This window comes from Homo sapiens, chromosome 8 (genome assembly GCF_000001405.40).
Source record: "Homo sapiens chromosome 8, GRCh38.p14 Primary Assembly".
Lineage (NCBI taxonomy): Eukaryota > Metazoa > Chordata > Mammalia > Primates > Hominidae > Homo > Homo sapiens.
This window is the reverse complement of record NC_000008.11, coordinates 91,250,836-91,270,119: the sequence shown is the minus strand read 5'-3', so window position 1 is coordinate 91,270,119 and position 19,284 is coordinate 91,250,836. Positions and strand designations below refer to the sequence as shown.

Here is a 19,284-nt window from a genome sequence, read left to right as displayed (position 1 = left end):
AAAGAAACCAACAGAGCTCCAATAATGGACCAAGAAGAATTGACAATCTATGAAATGGCTGACAAAGAATTCAGAATAATACTTTTTTAAGATTTTAGAAAAATCACAAAAAAGTATAAAAAATTAAATTTATAAAACAATCCAGGAAGAAAATGAGAAATTTGGCAAATAAATACAAACAATTTAAAAAAAGAGAAATCCTTGAAATAAAAATACAATAACTAAGCTGAAAATCTCAGTACAAAGCTTCCACAGTAGATTTGATGAAACAGAGGAAAGACTAAGCGAGCTCAAACATAGAACATATGAAATCACCCAATCAAAAGAGAAAAAGGAAAATGGGACACCATTAAGTGAACTAATCTCCACTTACTAGGAACACTTAAAAAAGAGAGAAAAAGGACTGGAAGGCATATTTAAGAAATTAATGGCTGAAAATTTCTCAATTCAGGAGAAAGATGGCAGCATCCAGGAACGGGAACCTTGGAAGTAACCAATAAAATTCAATCCAAAGAGAAAATTCCCAAGGCGAATTATGGTCAAATTAGCAAAAACCAAATACAAATAAAGAATACTCAAAGTAGCAAAAGAAATATATCACATTGAACAGAGTCTCAATATGGCTTTCAAAAAATTTATTAGCAGAAACCCTACAAGGCAGGAGACAGTAGAATGGTATATTCAAAGTGCTAAGGGAAAACAACAACAACAACAAAAACTGTTATCCAAGAACACTATGTCTAAGAATACCACACCAATATATGTACTAAGCGAAGTTAACCTTCAAATGTGAAGGAGAGATCAAGACTACCACACAAACAAGATGAGGAAATTCATCAGTACCAAACCTGCCTTACATAAAATGCTAAAGAAAGTTCTTTAAGCTAAAAGAAAAGTATGCTGACATGTAACAAAAAAACTTCAAAAAGTATAAAACTCACTGGTAAAAGTGAGCATACAAAAAATTTTAGAATACTCTAATACTGTAATTGTGGTGTATAAACCACTTATATCTTTAGTATGAAAACTAAAAAACAAAACTATTAAAGACAATAATGACTACAACAATGGGTTAAGAAATGGGCAACATAAAATACGTAAGTTGAAACATCAAAAAGTCAAAATGGGAGGAATTGGTATAAAAGTACAAAGTTTGTTTTTGTTAGTTTTTTTTTTGTTTTGTGATCAAGATTAAGTTGGTATCAGTTTAAAATAGCCTGTTATAACTATAAAAATTTTTGTAAGCCTCATAATAACCACAAAAAAATCTATAATGGATACACTAAAAATAAATAGCACAGAAGCAGAACAGACTTTCTCTTTACTAGAGAAAGTCACTTAACCACAAATGAAGACAGTAAGAGAGGAAAAAGGGAAAAAAGAAACTACAAAACAACCAGAAACAAGAAACAAAATGACAGTAGTAAATCCTTACCTATCAATAATAACATTAAATGCAAATGGATTAAATTATTCAATGAAAAGACACACAGACAGTGTGTCACTATCAGTGACACTTTGAATATGGCTGAATGAATTAAAATAAAATAAGGTCCAACTATATCCTGCCTACAAAAAACCCACTTCATCTCTAAAGGGACACATAGACTGAAAGCGAAGAGATAGAAAAAGATTCTATGCAAATGGAAACCAAAACCAAGCAGGAGTAGCTATACTTATTTTAAATAAAATAGGCATTATGTCAAGAATGGTTTAAAAAAGACAAATAAGGACATTATACAATGATAAACGGGTCAATATACCAAGAGGCTATAACCTTTTCAAATATATATACACCCAATACTGGAGCACCCAAATATATAAATCAAATATTAATAAATCTAAAGGGAGAGATCAGTTGCAATACAGTAATAGTAGGGGACTTTAACACCTCACTTTTAGCAATGGACAGATCTTCTCAACAGAAAATGGAACATTCTCCAGGAAAGACCATATATTAGTTCAGAAAACAAGTCTTCATAAAATTTTAAAAATGAAATCATATCAAGTACCTTTTCTGACCTAAATGAAATAAAAATAGAAGTCAGTGTCAGAAGGAATATTGGAAACTGTAGAAATACATGGAAATTAAACAACATTCTCCTGAATAATAATGCATCAATGAAGAAATTTAAAAGGTAATTAAAAATTCCTTAACACAAATGAAAATGGAAGCACAACATACCAAAACCTGTAGGATACAGCAAAAGCAGTTCTAAGAGAGAAGTTTATAGCAATAAATCCCTACATTCAAGAAGTAAAAAGATCTCTAGTAAACAACCTAATGTTATACCTCAACAAACTAGAAAAACAGCTAACCCACTAATTAGTAAAAGGAAATAACAAAGATCAGAACAGAAATATTTTTTTAAAATAGATTTTTTAAAATATGAAAGATCAAGAAAAAAAGGGTTGGGTATTTCTTAAAGATAGACAAAATTAACAAACCTTTAGCTAGATTAACCAAGCAGAAAGGAGAAACAACTCAAATAAAATCAGATATTAAAAAGGAGATATTACAATTGATACCACAGAAATACAAAAGGTCATAAAAGACTATTGTGAACAACTATTGACCAATGAATTGGGAAATCTGGAAGAAATGGATAAATGTCTGAACACATAGGACCTACCAAGATTGAATCATGAAGAAATAGAAAACCTGAACAGACCAATAATTAGTAATGGAATTAAGGCAATAATAAAAACTCTTCTCATCAAAGAAAAGCCAAGAATCTGATGGCTTCACTGCTGAATTCTATCGAACATTTAAAGAAAAACTAATGTCAATTCTTCTCAAAGTCTTCCAAAACAGTTGAAGAGGAGAGAATACTGCCAAACTCATTCTATGAGGCTAGCATTACCCTGATACCAAAATAAGATAAAGACACAACAACAACAACAACAAAAAGAGGTGGGGGGAATGTCAATATGCCTAATGGAGTTAAGTACGAAAAATCCTCAACAAAATATTAGTAAACTGAATTCAACAACACACACAAAAAAGAAAAATCATTCACGATGATCAGTTAGGATTCATCCCAGGGACACAAGGAAGGTTGAGAATACACCAACCAGTAGACATAATACATCACATTAAGAGAATCAAGAAAAATATCCATATGATCGTTTCAAAGATGAAGAAAAAGTATTTGATAAAATTCAATGTCGCTTCATGACAAAAACTCTCAACAATTTAGATATGGAAGGAATATACCTCAACACAATAAAGGCCATATATCACAGGCCCACAACTAACATCACACTGAATGGGCAAAAGTTGAAAACTTTTCCTCAAAAATCTGGAACAAGACAAGGATGTCCATTTTCACTTTTATTCAACACAGTACTGATAGCCCTAGCTAGAGCAATGAGGCAAGAGAAACAAATAAAGGGCATTCAAATTGGAAAGGAGGGAGTCAAATTGCCCCTATTTGCACATGACATGATTATATATCTAGAAAATCCTAAAGTCTCCACCACAAAATTGTTAGAACTAATAAATGAATTCAGGGAAGTTTCAGGATACAAAATCAATATACATCAATCAAAAAAACCAAAAGCATTTTATATGCTACAAATGAATTACACAAAAAAGAATTCAAGAAGGCAATCTCATTTACAATGGCTACAAAAATAAAATAAAATACCTAGGAATAAATATAACCAAGGATGGGAAAGATCTCTACAACAAAAACTATAGAACATAGATTAAATAAATTGAAGAAGACCCAAATAAAAGGCATCCCATGTTCATAAATTGGAATAATTAATATCATTAAAATGTCCATACTATCCAAAGAAATCTACAGATTAAATGCAATCCCTATCAAAATATCAATGACATTCTTCACATAAATAGAAAAAAAAGCCTAAAATGTGTATGGAATCATAAAAGACCTTGAATAGCCAAAGCAATCTTGAGCAAAAAGAACAAAGCTGGAGGCATTACACTACCTAACTTCAAAATATACTACAGAGCCATACTAACCAAAACAACATAATATACAAAAATCAACTCAAAATGAATTAACGACTTAAATGTAATACCCAAAACTACGTAACCACTAAAAAAAATCATAAATAAAATGCTTCAGGACATTGGTCTGAGCAAGGACTTTTTGGATAGGATCTCAAAAGCACAGGCAACAAAAGCAAAAATAGATTAATGGGATTCTATCAAACTAAAAAGCTTCTGCATAGCAAAGGAAACAACCAACAGAGTGAAGAGACAACCTACAGAATGGGAGAATTTGCAAAGTATGCATCTAACTAGAAGTTAATATTCGGAATATAGAAGGAACTCAAACAACTCAATAGCAAAAACCAAAAAAACTAGAAAGGCGCGTGCGCACACACACACCCCACAAAGAAAATCCAAATAATCCCATCAATAAATAAGCAAAAAGCCTAAATAAACATTTTTTCAAAGACATACAAATGGCCAGCAGGTATATGACAAAATGCTCAACATCAGTGATTTTCAGGGAAATGTAAATCAAAACCACAATGATGCACCTCACCTGAATTAGGATGTCTATCATCAAAATGACAAAAAATAAATCAATAACAAATGCTAGTGAGGATGCAGAAAGAGGGAAATTCTTATATACTGTTGGTGGGAAAGTAAATTAGCATAGCCATTATGGAAAATTGTATGGAGCTTCCTCAGAAAATTAAAAATAGAACTACCATATGATCCACCAATTCCACTACTGGGTATATATCCAAAGGAATTGAAAGCAGTATGTTGAAGAGAGATCTGCATTCCCATGTTTATTGTAGCACTATCCACAATAGCCAAGAGATGAAATCAATCTAAGTATTTATCAACAGACAAATGAATAAAGAAACTGCAGTATAAACCATGGAATTCTATTCAGCTATAAAACTAGAATAAAATCCTGTCATTTGTACAAACATGGATGAACCTGGAGGACATTACGTTAAGTAAAATAAGCCAGACACAGAAAGACAAATACCGCATAATCTCACTTACATGCAGAATCTAAAAAGGTTTATCTCATAGAAGTAGAGAGTAAAATAGTGGTTAGTAGAGGCTGTGAAGGGGATGGGGGAGAGGGAGTGGGGAGAAATTACCCAATGGGCACAAAGTTACAGTTAGATAGGAGAATAAATTTTGGTGTTCAATTACATAGTAGCATGCAGCTAATAAAATATATTGTATATTTCAAGACAGCTAGAAAAGAAGATTCTGAAAGTTATTACCACAAAAAAATGATGAAGATCTGAAGTGATAGACATGATAACTACCTTGATTTGATCATTATTCAATGTTTATATATATTAAAACCTCACACTGTACTGCATAAACATGTACAATTATGTGTCAATTATAAACAAAAAAAAATTTTTGGCAAGTAACCTCCTGAACATCTGTACTTAATGAGGTTTGGGAAACCATGAAAGTAAACACTCTTAAAGAAGCAATTTGGAAGTGTCTGAATCCAAGAGTGGGCTAGTCTGGGAGATTAAGTGACCTGTAATACAGAGCTATCAACAATAGAAACAACATCATGGGGAGGACTGGGGAGAGACTGGAGGCAAATCTAGTGTGGTGACCTTCCAGGAGGCTCAGGTATAAGGAGTGGATTGAGTAGCATTTTGGTTTTCCAGGTTTATTCTTTTTCCCTAGCTTCTATTCTGCAGGTTCCCATGAAGTTCCTATTTTGTTTTGAAGTGTCAGGCTGGCAAGGCCATCGTCTATCCAGGGATACATCTGTGCTGACACCATAGCCTCCCTCCTTGTATGTAGCATTTAGGAGTGCTTCAATTAAATGATTCTGATTTTTCTCCCAGTGATTCTGGGGGACAATGTTAGAATTAGTTTGCTTGAGCTTGTTGGAGACATGTGTTTCAATTCCAAGGAAAGCTGTAGATGCATGAGTCTCAGCAGGCAGGAACTTTTCCTGTGATAGGTGGATTCCTATATGTTATTTTACTTGGTCTTGCAGCGCAAAGCCCAATGCATCTGGCACTAACTAGCTGTCCTCTGGACCAGCCTTAGAGGTAGTAACATTTAGGAAAGCGGAGCAACATGGATTTGGATCTCAATTTCATCTCTTTTTGGCTGAGACCTTATACAAGTTATTTAACCTCTCTGAACTTCAGTCTTCTACTGTTAAAAAAAAATGGAATGATAATCCCTATCAATATGATTCTTTTATTCAACTAATATTTATTGAACAACTCCTTTGTGCTCATCACTTAACCAGTTACAAGAAATTAAGTGATAAATGAAGTAGACACGATATTATCCCTGCACCTACAGATCTCAGAGTTTAACATGAAAAACCCAGAGTAAATAAATATTTACATGTGAAGTTTTTAGAAAGAAAGAAGTATTGGAAGTTACAGGATCACATAAGAGACTTAATCCATTTCAGAAGGATTAGGGTAGTGTTGTTTAAGTCTTACACGAGGAACCTTGCAAAGGTGATAGGAAGGAAAGAAGGGAACTAAGAGAATATTCCAGGCAAAGCCCAGAAGAAAGGGAGCTTATGGCCCAACACAGGGCAAGCACAAAGAAAGAGTTAAATAAATGTCAGCATTTGTATAGGTTTGGATATAATTATCATTCTCTTAAGATGGCATCTTCAAGATTTAAATGCCATAGTAAAGGGAGAAATTTGCACTTATAGTTGCTTTCAGTCAAGAAGGATAAACTGAAATTCCCTATTCAGTTTTCTAAATTAAATGATACAATGTTGCAAGTGCTTGTATCTATGATTAATATAAAGAACCAAGGCTATAAAGTCAAGGCAGCATGGTCATAAATAGCAGCAAAAATGATGAGTACAAAAAAAACCATTATAACAGATTTCCAATATCTGCCTTCCAATATCATCCATATCTGCCTGATGGTTGTCCCTTTATAGTTCAGTTTTTACTTCAGAGACTTGCAGAACTGAAATAACTTTTAGCTGAGATGCATATATTATGAATCTAATTAGGACCAGAGAATTACCTTTCAGAGCCAATTTCCTTTCTGTAAAATTGTAGTCCTAAAATTACTACCAATCACTTTGTTGCAATTGAAAAACCTTGAGATAGAATTGGTTTTAATACAGATAATGTTTGTAAGTTAAAGAGATTCACAGCACACAAGGTAAGATTTATGCATAGTGGTACATGGTTACATTATTAACAATTATTTAGAATTATCCTAAATAATGGTTTGTTTACTTATTAAATGCTGAAATATTGATTTTATATTAATAATTGTTAAAATATTTATGAAATTAAGCACTTTATTCAACAACCTTCAAGATTTATGAGTGCATTACCAAAATATTAAACATTTTATAGTCCACAAATTTTTAATAGAGGTAATTCTTAAAGTCAATATCAATAAAACTCCCTCTTCAAAACTAAAGAGCATAAAAAGCTGAGATTGTGGTAATCACTTGACCCTCCATATTCAGGAGAAAAAAAAAAGTCAAATAACTCCTATTCTTGTGGGCCTACAATAGTCCACAAGAGGCCAAGAGGCCAACCTGATATTCTAATGCGAGGACGGGGGACACCAACACATGACCTTCCATGATGCTGGCTGATGCCTTCTTCCCTTACTTCTCTTGTCAGCCAGGTGCATCTTCTCACTGTCTTCCATGGGCTCAGGTTTACCCACCAAAATCTGAAGACTGCTCAGACGCTGGGTAGAAAATTAGAAAACACAGATCTATCATTGCTGTTGGCTTCCTAGATTGTAATTCAGACTCCTTTCTACCCAGAACTTTGGCCCCAGGTTCTAATCCTGACTAGTTTCTCCATTTTGCCTAAACGTCAGATACTTGATTCCCCAGTTTTACTTTTTGTGTCAACCAGTCCTACAGGTTGACATTCAAGTGCTAAACTTTACCCTCACCAGGCTGAGTTTATATGTCTTAGCTAAACTCCTCAAACCGGACCTAAATCCTACCTTTGGCAATGTCTTGATTCTATCCAGCCATCTCCAGGCGCAGTGCCACAACCTCAGCTCAAGCTGTAGAGCAGAAATTCTCAGACCTCTTCTGTCTACCACCTCCTCCAAGAGGAATGCTGCTAAGTGGAAGGGTCAAAGTTGAACACTCTGAAGAGGATACATTTCCTGGTAGGAGGAGTTCACGTCCAATGGTACGTTTTACTCTCTTCTACTATTTCCTAATCCATGCTACTGGCTAATAAAAGGACCAGGGCCTGCCTCAAGGTAAGCTCTAAGTTTCTCTTTCTTTTCCCCACAAGTCCATCCAAACCTTAGCTTTAAAAGAAAGAAAGAAACTCCTCTTGGATATCAGGTCAAAACTGCTTTGTTCCACTCCAGTTTTGCTGGAGCTATGCTTTGCACACTAACTCAGCTGATTAAGTGGGACAATGGTTGCCCTTCCCTAGATGTTACCTGTGTGTACAGTTCCCTTGAGATCCTTTCCAGGGAAGGAGTGATTAGCAGAACCTGATTTCTTAAAATTCTACATCATATAATATAGATCAGTAGCAAATCAAACCTTGATAGCTTTTTAAGACTGCCAGTTTGTTGATCCAATTTTTACCACCAAATCATCATTTCATGTTATGTTATATAGATGGGATTGTACTAATCTTCATGTTCCTAAATAAAAACACAGAATTCTTTGGCGACTCCCTGGGTTATACAATCTACTCAAGGCAAAAAGTGGCTGAAACCAATACTCCACAAACTTTCATTAAGAAAATGTTCCCACCCTTAAATACCCACACCAGAATGATATATTCAAGGTTAAAATAACAAGATCATATTCTCATATACTTTTGTACGCATTTCTGAAGACAGAAAAAATAATAAGCCCCTTGTGGGCTGGATTGTTGTCTTATACTCCTCTATCGCTTTCCAAGAACATAGCAAAAGGCTGTATTCTTTCAAATATTTTTTGAATAGAAATGAATAAAGAATCCTAGCAAGATGGATTAGTATTCTTAAAAACAAAATAATTAGGTGGTGGTAAGCACTTCCAAGAATTACACATAAAAAATCCAACCCAAATTGTGTGGGCAACGATGAAAGTTATTTCCCTGTGGTAACTGGTTTGTGGTGGTCTTAGAATAGTTATTAGCAAACCACAGTATAACCAGCTGTCTAGTTTACAATATCAGCAGGATTAGGGTTAAGCGTTATTACAAGTGAGTCTCCTGGGGTAAATTTACATATATTCAACAACCATAATTGTGTGAAAACAAATTTCTATAAACACACATTCTTTTGGTCCACAGACAACCATTATTACTCTAAGGTCAGTATTTCTAATCATTAGAGAGGTTGAGGCCAATCACATCATACCTTCCTCCTGTGACTTGCTACACAGGTGAGGTCTCACAAGCATGAACACGAAGAATCACTATGATCAAGAAACCCCAAGTCCAACAGACCTAAGAGCTTAAATAATAGAAACAGAAAGACAAAGTTCCCATGAAGAGAGGAGCCACCAGAAGGAGCATGGGCCTAGGAAAACCCCATCCATCTATCTCAATTATGATTGTTCACTGTCAACAAATATTTTAGTACTTACACTGTGCCAAATACTGGGGATAGGAGCTGAAAGTGTTTCCTGGAACTCAGGACTTTCAGTGCTAAAGCCAAGGTGATTGGTCTTCCTAGGCTGTAAATAATCTCTGCCCTCAAGGAACGTATGGCTTAGGCAATTGATATGGTTTAGCTCTGTGTCCCCACCTAAATCTCATCTCAAATTGTAATCTCCATAATCGACATGTGTCAAGGGAGGGATATGGTAGGAGGTGATTAGATCACGGTGGTGGTTTGTCCCATGACGTTCTCGTGATAGTGAGTGAGTTCTCACAAGATCTGATGGTTTTATAAATAGCAGTTTCCCTTGCTCTCTTCTCTCTCCTGCTGCCTTGTGAAGAAGGTGCTTGTTTTACCTTCTGCCATGACTATAAGTTTTCTGAGGCCTCCCCAGCCATATGGAACTGTGAGTCAATTAAACCTCTTTCCTTTATAAATTACCCAGTCTCAGGTATTTCTTTACAGCAGTGTTAAAATGGACTAATACAGTGCTCAATCAAATATGAATCAAAAATAAATGCTATAAAGTTAGTAAAGGATATAAGTACCATGGAAAAACAAAATAGAGGTATCAACAGTGCTTTCTGAAAGCCTATAGTTCTCAACCCTGGCTGCTCATTTTTATTTATTTTTTCATTAGTTGAGTAAGCCAAGACACAGAACATAAAATTATTTGCCCTAAATTATCCAGAGATTCTGATTTAATTAATCTAGGGTGGAGATTGGACATGAGTATTCTTTTCAGTGCCACAAGAGACTGTAATATGTAGCCATGGTTGAGAATTACTGAACTAAACCCATTCCTGAAATATGGTAGGTTATAATCAGGTGAAAGGGACAAGGCAGGGGAATATTATTCATTTTAGAGGAAATACCATGTGCAAATGTCCTGAGGCAAAGAAGCATGATCCTTTAGAATACTAAGTGCGGTCCAATATAGGCAGAGCATATGATGCTGAAGGGAACATAAAAAAGGTGTGGCTGGAAAGGTGAGATTCAGATATTGAAGGGCCTTGAAAAGCATTCTCAGAAGTCTAATCCTGTGCAATGAGAGGAAAGTTGGCAATTTATAGCCATAACTGCCTTCTAGGTGTTGTTTACTTTTATATTAAATACCTTGTTATTCTAAATGCTTTGATGACCTTGGCCAGTCATGTTGTCCTTGAGCTGAGTTTGAGAACATCTGTTCTAGAGCTGAGCAGAATAAAACAGCAGGTGTTAAGTAGTGATGATGTACAAAAGAACAGGAGTGTGGAAGGGTATGGCAAATTAGAAAGTCCATGTCCATATAAAGGGTGCAGGCAAAAGTCAACTTCAGCCTATTGTTGCCATTTGGGAATATGGAACCTGTGTGATTAGATGACTATATTTGAATGAAAGGAGGGAAAGCCTTCCATTTTAAAATTAAGTCTTCTGGTATTTAAACATTGATTCCCAATGCTGTAGAGGCCAATCAATGCACGCCTGTGGTTTCAGTCCCAGGGGTAGTATTTGGAGTTTCAGGAAGGAGCTAGAAATAGAAAGGGATGAGAAAAGACAGTAAGGAAAGTGAGAGAGGCCAAGGAGATCATGTGAAGCAAGGGAACAACACAGAGCGAACGAGCAGGTAAAAAGGTATTTGCAGTGTTGCTGAAGGAATTTTAAGAACAAGGTTTCCACTACCTAACTCAAAATTTAGTTTTGTTGGAGTTTAAGATAGAGAATAGAGGGACAAAACTGTATGTGAGAGACATCCTAACTAGCAGGGTAAATTTTGGTGGCTCTTAAGGTAGAAGCACGGGCTCAGGAGTCAGAAAGATCTGCATTTAAACACTCCTTCTGCCTTATGCTAACTGGATTACCTTAGCAAATTAATCTACTTTCCTTCATCTGTTAAATACAGATAACAGTATCAAACTCTTAGGGTCATTATGAAGATTAATTGATATAATAGACAATGAATCCTTAGCACAGTTTATGGCACACTTTAAACATTTAGCAATTGTTGGTTGTATCTAGTACTGTCAGGGAAGTGGCCATGAGGACAATGGGCATCAGGTGTATTAGACAGACATTAAGAGGGAAGAATTTACAGAACTTGGTTAATTGAATATAGTTGTTGAGGGGACAGGGGAAGAAGGATCACTCCCAGGTTTCTGGCATGAAAAACTGTGTAGATGGGGGGGTGACTTGCATTATAAAAAAGAATGGAGGATAAGGATTACTTTTGGTAGGAAAAATGCTGTGTTCAGTTATAAAATTTGTCCCTGGGAGACATTGAGATTGTGCCCAATAGGCAGCTGGCGATTTATCTCTAGAGCTAGGAAGGAAGAGTTAAGATGGAAATATATTCCTACAATTAACCAATAGAGCAGTGGCAAGTAAAGCCATGAAAATGGATTAGCTTAATACCTGGGTGATATAGTGTGGCTCTGTGACCCCCCAAAATCTCACCTTAATTGTAATCCCCATAATCCCCATGTGGAGTGGGGACCAAGTGGAGGTAATTGAATCATGGGGGCAGTTTCCCCCATGCTGTTCTCATGATAATGAGTGAGTCTCATGAGATCTTATGGTTTTATAAGTGTCTGGCATTTCCCCTGCTTGCACTCATTCTCTCTCCTGCCACCCTGTGAAGAGGCACCTTCCGCCATGATTGTAAGTTTCCCGAGGCCTCCCAGCCATGTGGAACTGTTGAGTCAATCAAACCTCTTTTCTAAATAAATTACCCAGTCTCAGGTATTTCTTCATAGCAGCGTGAGAATGGACTAATACACTGGGTGATATAATATGCACAACAAACCCCCATGACACATGTTTATCTATGGAACAAAACTTCACATGTACCTCCAAACCTAAAATAAAAAATAAAATGGATTAGCTCATGAAAAACAAACTGTATAGAAGGAAAAGACAGTCAAGCACAAAGAATGAAGGGGAAAAAATGTGTTTTTTTTTTATTTTTTTATTTTGAGAAATGGTGTTAAATGAGAAGAAACTATGCTGTCTGAGGCTCATGGCTATGAATAGGAGTCAAGTCTTGCCTTTGTGCAGATATCTCCAATGTTAAAATGGTTAGGAGAGCCCAAAGCAGTCCTTCCTCTTGGACTCAGAATGGGAGAAGTTAAATGTCCACAGTAGTGCTCTGAGCTGGGGGTGGTAAATGTTAGAGATGGCATCTGTCCTGATAGAGGAAACAGAGCTGAGACAAGAGGGATCAAACCAAGCGGACAGCAGTAAGCCTCGTTATTTTCCCTTTTCGTTGCTCTCTAGCCTTTAGTAAAATTTCATTCAAACATTTCATCTGTGTGTCACCTCTGCTACATGGTAAAATCTATTATTCATGGATGCTCAGGCCAGTATTAAAGCATGTCTCCCCTCCATCTCTCCTAAGCTACTCTATGTAGCAGGGGGCAGTGAGAGAACCTCAGGGGAAAGAGCAATAGCTCATTGTATTGCTTCTCACCAGCAAAGCTCTCTTCTGGTGGGAAATCCAGGGTTTTATTTTATCAAGGCAGGTGACATGTCATCATGGGAAGGGGCAGCCTGAGGGGTAGATGTGAAGGGAGGCTCAGAGTCAGCCCCGGTCCCACCCAGGCTATGTCTGTCATGCTAGAAGCAAGCTGGGCAACAGATACCAGTGAAGAATGAGGAATGGAGCAGGGCAGTTTTAGGTTTTAATCCATCTTAGCAGTCCTAGAAGTGGGCCAATTCACCTAATGTTCAGAGCTCATATTTTCATGAGATGCTCTTCAGTAGAATAATATCAATCTTTCTGGGTTTCATAATATTTGAAATAATTTATGTAACACATTTATACTATAATAGCACTCAAATGTGTCATTAAGGTGACTAGAAGAAACCCAACTTAAATCTACATAAACAAAGCAAAAAAGTGTTTGCACATGCAAATGGAGAGTCAGGGCTATAGTAGTTGTCATCAGGACTCGGTTTCTCTCTGCTATGCATTTTGCTGGATTGGCTTCATTGTCAGGCTGTGGAGGTCCTGGGAAACTGTAGAGGCACATTATCTCTACTGTCATCATTTCAGCATGAAGGAAGTTTTGGCTTCCTAAAAGGTCTCATACATGTACTGAGACCCAGACTGACCACTCAGGTCATTTAGATTGCCATTACCATTTTAATAATAAATAGCTGGCCCCTTGTATAGTAAACTCATATCCTTATGCCTAGAGGTCAGACCTTATTCTTGAATCAGTCACTGGCCAGGTGTATGGAACTGTGCTAATTATCACATCTTGGCCGACAAACCTTCACCTGGTCCAATAACTATGGCTAGATCCTGCTCTCACCTGTTTCACATTAGAAACCGCAACATTTTTTTAAAAGAATAGAAGGAAGACAATGCCTCAATGCCGGGGCACAATTTCCAGAAAATCTGGTTTCGTTGCTAGATATGGAACCCTTGTATTAGCATTCTTTTAATCCCCAAGATGGTTCCAATAGGCCTCCAGTTTGAGAATCCTGGTCTAGAGGCATTCAGTCCCCTGATCAGCCTGGACACCATCTGCTGTGCCAGCAATAGAACCTCACCTAAATCATTTGTACTATATATGGAACAGGGGTTATTCACCCAAACTAATCTGAGATACAGTTACTGAAAAGAGCAGGGATGGTTCATAGCAGGTAAAAACAGAAGATAGACCACGTATCTCATCCTGACACTCACTGCCAATGTATTTTGTTGCAAACCTTGCCATGTTTTCAACACTCTAAAATTAAAGGTCATGGTTCTTCAATATGGACAGCTCTAAATGTTATAGGGAGCATTATGCTAAGTGCATAAATAAATACAGGGTCCTTTAATATCTAAACCATCATTGTTTTGCATTAAAGAAAAATAAAACAGGAGTCAAAAGTACCGAATGAAGCTTGGAGCTATAGTGAGGGATTGGGTCATGGGATGAGGGGAAATAGAGAAGGAAAAGACAGGAATGTGTCACAGCTCTTCTATATTTTCATGGGGTAAGGAAAATATACTTTAGACTCATTTAGGAATATTTGGATGCCATTGCTCCTGGAGAAAAGTTACTAGCAGGAAGATACAGTGATTAAGGGAGCTAAGTTAGAGATACGTGGCTAATGCTAGGATTCTGTATCGCCAAAGCTGAGACCATGCAGGGAAACATTCCCAGACAAGTCTTTAATCTGTGCAATGCAGTATGCCTCAGGAATTTCCACTTATTGTTCTGCATGTCACTAAGCTGCCCTCAGGAGTGCAATGAAGCTCAGCTTCCACACACAAGTTTTGGTGCCAGTAATGCCACACATTCTGCATAATTATAAGGAACATCCATCTTTTGTTTGCAGCCCAAAACCTTGTGGTTTGAACATCAGGCAACCCTATGGCAGCTAAAAGTTGCATGGTTTGGGAAAAAAAAAGTCTAGGTGAGCCCTTGGAAATGCAAGGCCAAACATTCTCATATTCCACCCCAGTGCATTAGGTTCTTATATGGCAAGTCATGCATTTCAGGTCTCCACTCTGTCTCAATGCTTGAGTTTTCATGTTGGAAACAGAGAATCTCTTTCCCCCAGATGGTCATTCAGGCTGTAATGTGCACAAAATGCTTTAGAAACCAGAGTCTTATACTGCTTAGCTTGCCATCCATGTTGGTGACATGTTTTAAGTCAATGTCATTCTCTACAAATGTTTGCTTATCTATAAAACATATTTGACAGTGAAGGTCTTCAAGATGTCAGTTAAAGAACATCATGGCAGATACTAAATATAAAGGCTCTTACATGATGTTACTAATGAGAACTGCCAAATGTTAAAAATATTTTTAAAAAATACAAGTGGTTTCTAGGAAATATTTGAACTTAGTAAAAGAAGGACCTGAAGTTTCTTTTATCTTTCTTTCTTTGAAATTAATACATCTACATGTTATTTTATACATCTCTATATTATACCTATTTATTCTGAAGAGGGGTAACCACCCCTTTGGCAGTCTAATAAAGCTGCTGGACTCCTTCCCAGAACACATTGTAAAAATCAGTAACAGACAATGCATATGATTATAAAGAAGTGAAGTATATTGAAACATATGAGTCCAGGTTCACAGACCTGAAGGTTCTGTGGTCTTAGGTGAAGAAGCTAATATTATGTCATCTCCCTATGAAGGTTTTATTCAAGGGCAAATTTGAGGCATTTCAACAAAATATGTTAGAAAGTGTCTTGGCAGGGGAAACAAATTTAGTCATTCATAGAGCTAGGTAGGTAATGGTCATACCAGCAGGAAGAGTGGCAGTGAACCTGTGAATGGTGGGTGCTGTGGCAAACAAGGAGGCTCTCTTAAGGGCCTGCAGATTTTGCCGCATGGAGATGTGGGCCCTGCGTGACCATGTCTCCCTAGATTTTTCAAGAGAAGCTGGGCATCTGGACTTTTATATAAACTATTCATATTTGTTACTGTTGGCTGAAGAAAAAATTAACATTGGGACAAAGAAAACATATCTTTTACCAGATTTGTCAGGAGGCCTGCAAATTTGTAACTTCAAGAAAGTAAGAGAAGTTGGAAAAAATCAATTACTTGTATTTTAATGTATTTTTTTACTATCAGTATCTTTATTACATTTATTTATATAATAAAACATAAGAATTAGTTTAAATTCAGTTTCCTCTCTAGAGTGATAGCATGCTGCAATGGAACAATTGTTGGCTTCTAGAATGTTTTAATTCTTCCAACAAACATTTATGTGCCAAGCAATTCACAAGCTGGTAAGAATATATAGATTAAGACATTGTCTTGTTTCCAGAGCTTACAGACTAGTGTGGAAAGAGTTGTAGCAAGATATTATAATACAATATGTTAAGGCCTATCAAAGAGATATGTAAAAAGTACAAAGGGAGTAAGAGGGAAGAAAACATCTTCCCAGGAGATTGGGAGGGATTCTTAGAGGAGAGATCTCTTTGAGTAGAGCTTTGTATCAAGAGGCTCAGATTATTAATGATCTAATAGGACATGCTGAAGAAATGGACTTTTACTCTAGAGAAAATATAGGTTCATTAAATAATTCTGAACAGGATCAATGCATTCAGATTTTTGTGATTATTCTGGCTGCAGTATGGAATATGGCCTACAGGTGGAGACAGAATAAGGAATGAAGACCCACAAGATGATGACTTCAATAGTTCAGACAGAATTACAGCGACTGCAGGGCCCATGAAACAAGACTACTTAGTTAAAATGAGAGGGGATAGAAACAAAAGAACCTGGCAGCTGGTCGTATGCTAGTGGGCAGGGTGGCAAAAGAGAGGAAAGAGTTGAGAATGATGTGCAGGACTTTCTAAGAGAAGAAGTCTAGTATAAAAGTGAGGGCATAGTCTCAGGAGCCAGATTACCTGAGTTCAAATCCTACCTCTTCCACTCATTTGCTGTGTGACTTTAGGCAAGTTGTTTGTCCTCTCCCAACTTCAGTTTTGTATATATGTCAAGTGTTCTTACAATACTGCTTGCATCTGTGCCTAAAAATTACTGTTGTTATTATTATAGTTCTGGTTCGAATGGAGGTTACATTCAGTTTGTTTTGAAGACACAGCATTTGAAGTACATTTAGAACATTCTAGGTTAGCATATTTAAATATGTGGATCTCCAAGGTCACTCAGGAACCAAGGCTGCTGATAGAGTCAATGCTACCTCCAATACATAGCTTCCAAATTTGCCTTGGGCATTAATACCTGCCAGCATATAGGGGACATGAGGATCATACATGACTTTTACAGGCTAGGACTGGAAGAAGTATACTTCTGCTCATTTTCCCTTGGCCAAAATATAATCACAGGGCAACACCTAACCTCAAAGAAAGCTGGAAAAGGTAGTCTTGCAGTGTATACATCACATTTTAATGATAATCTGGCTGGTTTTTAAAAATTAATAAATAAATATGTAGATCTCAAGTTGAGAAGAAAGTTTCATTAGCATGAAGGGGGTGATTAGCATCTTTTATGCTTTTAGTGAAGGCCAGGGTTTGAATCTCCAGGACACCAGTGTTTGGTGGGAGGCAAAAAATCTGCAGAGAATCATAAGAAGAGAAGGACAGACAGGTAGCAGGAGAAAAACAAGAGTGGTGTCTAAAAACCAAGAGAATAAGGGATTTCAGAAAGACTGTAGTCAACACAGAAAATGCTACTGATAATAGAAAAGCATCTATATTTAACAATTAGGAAATCTTTAATAAAGTAAAGATTTACTTTATTAAAATAATTTAAAACAGCTTCTTGCTATTTGACATATAGAAAACACTCAAATGAATTTCCATTATCCTTAATTTAAATGCACTCCTTGAGAAAGAAGAACGAAAAACAACTACTAGATTGAAACATAAACATTCTATCTTTGTAGGTCAAGAAACAGTAAATTGGACAATTTTATATAATTCAACTATGCTGAGTAACTGAAAAGCTGCTACAAAAATGGGTAAAGCTAAAAAAAGGTGCTTGAGCCTATTGTTTGCGTTATGATGCAAGAACAAAAATTATCCCTCTTTCTTCTAATTTTCCTTAGAAAATTGAGCTGATAATAATTGCCAATATTGTATTCAGACAAACAAGAGGTAATGATATCTAAATGCCTTCCTTACTCTGTATCCTATTCTAGTTATTTTTCTTGTCACTTTGCCTTTGAATCTAAAAACTGCAGGGATGAAACCTGAATGCAAAAGCAATTTGAAGGGAAGGATAGTCACACCTTTCCAAAGAAATGTCTTCTATTACTAATAACATTGGTGTTATGAAAAGTCTTGTTATTTTGGCAGTGTAGACTATAAAGTGAAAATGTTGAGTGTTGGCTTTGGAATCAAGTCCTGACTCCACTACTTATCAGGTATGACGTCCAGGGAAAATTTCTAACTCTTCTAAACCTCCATTTTCTCCTGTGGAAAATGGAGAGGAGACTGCTGTGTCTTGGGATTCTGTTAGGATAGGGGGAGATAATGTATGTAAGGGTTTAGGGCATTGCCTCTTACAACAAATGGTAGCTTATGGCATTTCACTTTTTAACTGTCTATACGTAGTAGATGAGCATGAAAAAGTTTGAGAAAATTGTTTTTAAAAGAATAGACATTTTAAAAATAATTAGTCTTAAATTTCACAAACAAAAACGTTTTTGTAGTGCAGCCTTATCCATTCACTGGTAGCCTTCCAAGAGAATCAGCAGCCAGATTCATAACTTCCCAAGACACAAGGGCTGAGTATGTGTTGTGCTTCTCATCAGTCTTGGGGCTGGCCAATGTGTCCCTTCATAACCAGTGAAATACATGACTCGTAAAACAAAATCCCTCAAAATCTATACCCAAATAAAAGCCATATAATTAACTACTGAAACTTATACATAAATAGTATCACTAATGATACACCATAGATAACTTTATCTTATCCTCAAATTGTCTTATTAACTTGATATTTTCCAAAGGTAAAAAAAGAAATTATTTTTAAAAACATAATTCTCTTTCATTTTACATTAAATTAAAGCAAAATAAATTTATAGCATGCTGAAACTATCTGGTTAAAAAAAAAATTCATCACTTAAGTTTTCAAAGTACATTGGTATTGTTTCATTTGGAATTTAAAACTGAATAAAAGCAAGTCCAAAAATGCCCAAAGCTGTTATTTACTTTGCATTTTTCTGAAAGATTACTATGCATTTCTATTGGCAAAATGGTCATTAAAAATATAAGACTATTCAGTAAAATGGAATCCTATAAAGTATGACAGTATTATGGATCTTAA

The 19,284-nt window shown here is 36.2% G+C and overlaps 1 protein-coding gene and 1 long non-coding RNA gene across 5 annotated transcripts in view; both read right to left on the bottom strand.

Annotated features, from left to right (window-relative positions):
* Positions 1-19,284, bottom strand: part of SLC26A7 (solute carrier family 26 member 7) — a 188,660-nt gene that overhangs the window by 128,036 nt on the left and 41,340 nt on the right. The window lies entirely within an intron of this gene.
* On the bottom strand, positions 6,171-9,715 carry LOC105375637 (uncharacterized). The gene is made up of 2 exons (XR_928403.2): positions 7,943-9,715; positions 6,171-7,675 (listed from the first exon to the last, which is right to left on the bottom strand). It is a non-coding gene; the product is annotated as an uncharacterized LOC105375637 (long non-coding RNA).